Raw genomic sequence first — 6,549 nt, 5'->3', positions numbered from 1 at the left:
TTTAGGAAAAAAGAGAGGAAAAAAAGGATAAAATTTTGTTATTATCCTCCCAAAACTTGTTATGTAAGATATAAATTTACTGATAGGAGATTTTGAAAATTAGTATCAGCTTTATATTTGGGCACATGATTTCATTGAGGCAGTTCTTTGGCAGAGCAGATTAAAATGATGTTCCTGAAATGAAACTAGAGTCTCCAAAATAATTGGCTCATTTTAAGCAAAATATTATTGATGGTCAACAGTGACTGGCACATAATAATTGATTAAATATTTGTTGCCTAAGTCAGGGAATGAGTGATATGCTTTGGCAATTACTGACAGTATATAAAGGTCTCAGGGAAGTAGAAGACATCCACACCTCAGAAGCATCTTCTTGAAACCCATCTCAATTCTCTCCTCTTGACAACATGTGTTGCAACTACTACGGCAACTCCTGTGGCTATGGCTCCGGCTGTGGCTGTGGCTATGGCTCTGGCTCTGGCTGTGGCTGTGGCTATGGAACTGGCTATGGCTGTGGGTATGGCTGTGGGTTTGGCTCCCATTATGGCTGTGGTTATGGAACTGGCTATGGCTGTGGATATGGCTCTGGCTCTGGCTACTGTGGCTACCGGCCATTTTGCTTTAGAAGATGCTATTCTTCCTGCTAAAACATCACTGTCGGAGGACCATTTGCTTCTAAAATGACACGTCTGAAGATAATGCTGATTCAAGGATTCGTACTCCAAGATTTCTATATCCAAGAATTACATGCTTGACAGAATCTTCGACCTCTAGCCTCACATTTCTTTGAATGAAATCATGGCCATAGGATCCATGGTGTCATCTGACTGTTTTCCAAATGTTATCTTTTGCTCCCTTAATCTCTGATTCTCTGTTATGACTGTGTTAATGATCATAACATCTACAGTTGCGGAAGTCAATCATTTGTAATAAAAATGGTTCTTTATTCCTAAAAATCTTTGTGTACTTGCTTGTGAATTACTCTTTCTTGGGGTGTTTTGGAATCTCTTGAAAATTGGGCTAACAGTATGTTGGCTGAACCTTAGGTACTTCCTTGATATAACGCAATTATTTCCTCTTATGCTTGCATCATAAATAATGTCTTCTCTACCTGCTTCTCATATCCCACATGCTCAGGTTCTCACATACCCAAGCACAAATCACAGAGTATTTCAGAACTGTGCTTTGGAAATGGCACTGAGTGTCTAGAATGGAGCTGGAGGGGGAAAGGGAGGCAAAGTGACACCTATTCAGGATGTTATGACAAAAGTCTCAGGGAGGAGATATAGCCTGAGTGCTTAAAGAAGTAATATAATCCCAGCACTTTGGGAGGCTGAGGTGGGTGGATCACCTGAGGTCAGGAGTTCGAGACCAGCCTGGCCAACATTGTGAAACTCTGTTTCTACTAAAAATACAAAAATTAGCTGGGCTTGGTGGTGCGTGCCTGTAATTCCATCTACTCAGGAGGTGGAGACAGGAGAATTGCTTGAACCCTTAGGAGGTGGAGGTTGCAGTGAGCCGAGATTGCTTGGGTGACACACTGAGACTCCATCACACACACAAAAAAAAGTAATGCAATAGGAGAGATCACTTCCAGGATTGTTGAAAATTTTGAGTCAGGGTCAAGTGTTAGGCAAGAGGAAATAAAAACCTAAAAAAGGGTAAGTTCAAAGAAAAAATATACTATCAAATGTATCTACATCTGACAAAAGTACAAATATATATGTTTGCTTACATGGAGGTTGAGAAATGCTATTTAATTCACTTAAATATTTTTGAATAGACACCATCCTGAAGACACAGAAGAAAAATTATAAGCAAATGTTCTGCTCTCAGAATGTTTATAGTCTAACAGATGAAGATTTAAAGAAGCAAAAATAGGCCAGATGTGGTGGCTCATGCCTGTTAATCCCTGCACTTTGGGAGGCTGAGGCAGGTGGATCACTTGAGGTCAGGAGTTCGAGACCAGCCTGGCCAACATGGCGAAACCCCGTCTCTACTAAGAATACAAAAATTAGCCAGGCGTGGTGATGGGCGCCTGTAATCCCAGCTACTTGGGAGGCTGAGGCACGAGAATCGCTTGAACCTGGGAGATGGAGGTTGCAGTGAGCCAAGATTGCGTCATTGCACTCCAGCCCGGGCAACAAGAGCAAAACTCTGTCTAAAATAATTAATAATAATAATAATAATAATAATGAAGCAAAAACTAATTATAACAAATTCAGACAGATAATTGCTATAGAGGGAATGAAACAGCTTAATGGAGAGGAGATTAAGGTTTGAAGTACTGGAGAGACAGCTCAGGGAAGTATCTTGAGGTTATGACATTTGAGCTCATAATACAACATTTCCAGCAGCAAAGAAAGACTAAAAAGGACAGTAGCAAATGCCAAGGGGGACAGCAGTTCATTAAGTTTTGGGTATGATGAAGGTGATGACACATTTTTCAGTTAGAAAAGAGCAAGGTCTAGTATCTTAATGGAGTTCTTTTTAGATTGGGGTGGTCATAAAAATGAGATTAAAGGGTCTGTTCTAGTTTCCTGGCTGACTTTCTGATGTGGAGTGTTTACTGCTTCTTTGATTCTGATTTTAGTGTCCTTTCCTCCAGTTCTAGACCATCCAAACTCTATCACTGAAATCTTACAACAGAGAAAGTCTTCTGGATTCAGTAGAAACTTGTTATAATCAGCAGTAATAAATGTGTCCCTGTTTCATCCACACAACAGGGACCATTACACCAAGTCTGGCTCTCTGAGGTCCCTGGAGCTGGGTGACCCCACAAAATGCCTGGCTCTAAGAAAGATAGCCCTACAATCAATATCAGCCCAGGAGGAAATCTATGTCCAGGATAGAATCTGTCCGACTGATGGACAATAGGGGTTTCTTCCAAGAGCAGGATAGCTTTCCCATCTGGAGTATTTGTGAGTCAGATCTGAGGACTAACTGTGCTGTCTGGAACTCTGAAGTTATTATAGTATTACAAGCAGTGGATAACACTTAACTTATCTTCAAAACCTGAAATATTGTGATTATCTCAGTTTAAGAAAATTTTGAGACATTCAGCTTGTGTGCAATGAGAAAATGGTGATAATGTTAACAGAGACAGAGATGATAAAATTAGAGAAGGTTTGTGTGTGTGTGTGTGTGTGTGTGTGTGTGTGTGTGTGTGTGTAGATGCTCATGTAGGTGTGGCCTGTTTGGTGGAGGTTGGGAAAAACGAATATTTGAATTCACATATGTAATCACATTATGGAGGAAAGGAAAAACTATTTATATTTCACAATACTTTCTGTGGTTGGAAAATGATTTAAGCTTCAAAGCTCCTTTAAAAAAAACACAAAAGTCTTTTTTTGGGATACATTATTACATATTGTAGAGGCTCTAAATTGTAAAATCTAAATTGTAAAATTTGTTCTTTAACAAACATTAAGATTCATGTTTCAGCTATGTGCTGTGATTGGTATGGAGACAGAGAGATAAAACACATAGTCCCTTCTAAGAATTCAGAATCTTCAGCTGGGCACAAAATACTAAATCATACATAGCAGGTATGCTTGTAGGTACGATGGTGTTACCAAGAAGAGCTCAAGGGGGAAACTTAAATCAGAATGTGGAAAGAGAAGGCTCGACAAGTGTCAGAAATTGCTTCCAAAGAATGATAGGAACAGAGCCATAAAGGATGAGGTAGATTTGGTCAGTTACAAGAGACGGAAAATGGAATTCAAGGCCAAGAAATTCAAGGAAAGAAGAAAATAAGCTGTCAGTTTATTGAAAGAGTAGGAGGCCCCACTGGGAAATTTTAATCAGTGTCCACTTCCATAAAAGAATTATCAGGTCTCTTGAGTAAGCTGCACTGTCTGATATGGTGCTACTAGCCAGCTGTTGAGTTCTCAAAATGGGGATAATTCAAAATGAAATGCGCTGTAAGTGTAAAATACAGAGTAGATATCAAAGACTTAATAGAAAAAAAAGAATGAAAGTATCAAATACATTTAAATTATTTGTTATATATTAAATGATAATATTTTGAGACATTAGGGTGAATACAATATGGTATAAAATTAATTCACCTGTTTCTTTTTATCTTTTTAAAATGTGGACATTGGAAAATTTAAATTTCTCAATGTGTTTCATGGTATATTTCTATTGTAGAGTGTTGTCCTAGAGGGCCAATCATAACCAACTGGCCAGGTAAGGACACTGGCTAGAAAGAGAAGTCATGTTAGGCCACTAGCAAAGATTAGGAAGTCTAACCATGTTATCCAGGTATAAGGAGTAGATCAGCCTGAGGCAATAGGACCACAGTTGCCAGTGCTGCAGAATTCAGGGGAGGAGCAAAGTCCCTGTGTAGACAAATTTTCCATCTGGGATAGTTTATTCAGTAAATGTGTGTCTTAGTTTGTTTTATGCTGCTGCAACAGAATACCCGAGACTGGGTAATTTATGATAAACAGAAATTTATTAGCTCATAGTTCTGGTGGCTGGAAAATCCAGCATCAAAGTGGTGAGAGTCTTCCTGCTGCATCAAAACATGGCAAAAGGCATCACATGGTGAAAGACCAAGAGAGGGCAAGAGAGAGAGCAAGACGGGGTGAACCCATTCCCGCAATAACAGACTTGCTCCTGTGATAATGGTGTTAGTCCATTTATGAGGGTGGAGCCTTCAAGACCTAAACACCTCATAATGGTCCTACCTCCCAATACCTTCACAATGGCAATTAAGTTGCAACATGAATTTTGAAGGGGGCAAACATTTAAATCACAGCAATGGGATTGATCAATCTCCCATCTGTTTAGATACAATGATATAAATACCTACCTCACACTATACACATAAGAAATTCCACATTGATTAAAGTTCTGCACATGAAGGTTAAATTATGAAAGTACTAGAAGATGGTATAGAGTTTTAGGCATTTTGGCTAGGATTGTAAAGATCACAAAGAAAGAAAATCCAGATGATAGAGGTGTAAGACAAAAGTGGCAAAATATTGGCAATTTTAGTCAAATGAAGTGCATATTTTCCATTTGAAAAACTAAAGGAAAAAATAATTTATGGGTCCTTCCTGAGCTTTAATATTCTTGCAGGAGTTAAATCGATTTGACTCTACCACTAAACAGCTGAGAGTCCTTGGGCAAGTGACAACTACCTGTGGCTTCTGTTTTCACATCTGCGACGTGTGTAAAAACAAAAACCATTAGGTACATGAAAGTTGCTTTACATCAATAATCATCAGAGAAATGCAAATCAAAATCACAGTGAGCTATCACCTCATACCTGGTGTGATGGGTATTATAAAAAAGATAAGAGATAACAAGTGTTGGCGAGGAAGTGCAATAAAAGAAACATTTGTGCACTGTTTTTGATGGGAACATAAATTCATACAGCCATTATGGATAACAATATGGAGGTTCCTTAAAAAATGAAAATTAGAACTACCACACGATCTAGCCCTACTTCTGGGTTTATATGTCAAAGATACAAAATCAGTAGCTCAAAGAGATATATGCATTCCCATGTTTGTTGCAGCACTATTTACAATAGCCAAAACATGGAAACAACCTAACTGTTCACTAATGAGTGAATGAAAAAATAAATTGTGGTGTATATTTGTAATGAAATATTATAAAAAGGAAAGAAATCCTGCCATTGACAACAGCATGGATAAACATGGAAGGCATTATGCTAAGTGACAAGTCAGCCAGAGAAAGACAAATGCTGAGTAATCTTACTTATATGTGGAATCTAAAATGTAGAACTCAAAAAACAGAATGTGGAATGGTGGTTGCCAAGGGGTTGGGAGGTGGAAGAAATGGGAAGATGTTAGTTTAAGGGTACAAATCTTCAGTTACAAGAAGAATAAGTTCTGGAGATACAATTTACCACACGGTAACTAACTATAGTTAACGATACTCTATTGTATACTCGAAATTTGCTAAGGGGAGATCTTAATTGTTCTCACCATAAAACAAAACCAAAATGCTAATTATGTGATTATTGTGGTAACTTACTTGATTGTGTCAATCATTTCTCAGTAAATATGTATATCAAATCATCATATTGTATAACTTAAGCTCATATGATTATCTTTGTCCCTGATACCTCAATAAAGCTGGAAAATAATAAAAAACACAACTTACTTTACATTGTTTTTATAAGAATCAATGAAGTAATAAATGTAAGTGTGACTCAAAAATTAAAAGGGGATGTCTGCTTTGGAAAATGTCTATTCATGTTCTTTGTCCACTTTTTTCATGAAATTATTTGTGGTTTTTTTTGTTGTTTAAGTGTTTGAGTTTCTTGTACATTCTGAATGTTAGTCCCCTGTCAGATGCATAGTTTGCAAATATTTTCTCCCATTCTTCAGGTTGTCTGTTCACTCTGTTAATTATTTCTTTTGCTGTGAAGAAGCTTTTTAGTTTAATTAAGTCCCATTCATCTATTTTTGTTTTCATTGCATACTTTTGAAGTATTTGTCATGAATTCTTTGCCTTGACCAGTGTTCAGAAGAGTTTTCCCTAGGGTTTCTTCCAGTATTTTTATTGTTT

At 37.6% G+C, this 6,549-nt stretch overlaps 1 protein-coding gene across 1 annotated transcript; it reads left to right on the top strand.

Moving 5' to 3' along the window:
- Positions 1–357: 357 nt before the first annotated feature.
- KRTAP21-1 (keratin associated protein 21-1) lies at positions 358–771 on the top strand. The gene has a single exon (NM_181619.2). The coding sequence runs from the start codon at positions 408–410 to the stop codon at positions 645–647; it is 240 nt and encodes a 79-aa protein (NP_853650.1). The 5' UTR covers positions 358–407; the 3' UTR covers positions 648–771.
- The last annotated feature ends 5,778 nt before the right edge of the window (positions 772–6,549 follow it).

This window comes from Homo sapiens, chromosome 21, assembly GCF_000001405.40.
Source record: "Homo sapiens chromosome 21, GRCh38.p14 Primary Assembly".
Lineage (NCBI taxonomy): Eukaryota > Metazoa > Chordata > Mammalia > Primates > Hominidae > Homo > Homo sapiens.
The sequence above is the reverse complement of the archived record's forward strand: the minus strand, read 5'-3'. Positions and strand labels throughout refer to the sequence as shown.

Coding starts and splice junctions, on each gene's coding strand:
- KRTAP21-1 (NM_181619.2), top strand. CDS start 408: ATGTGTTGCAACTACTACGGCAACTCCTGTGGCTATGGCTCCGGCTGT.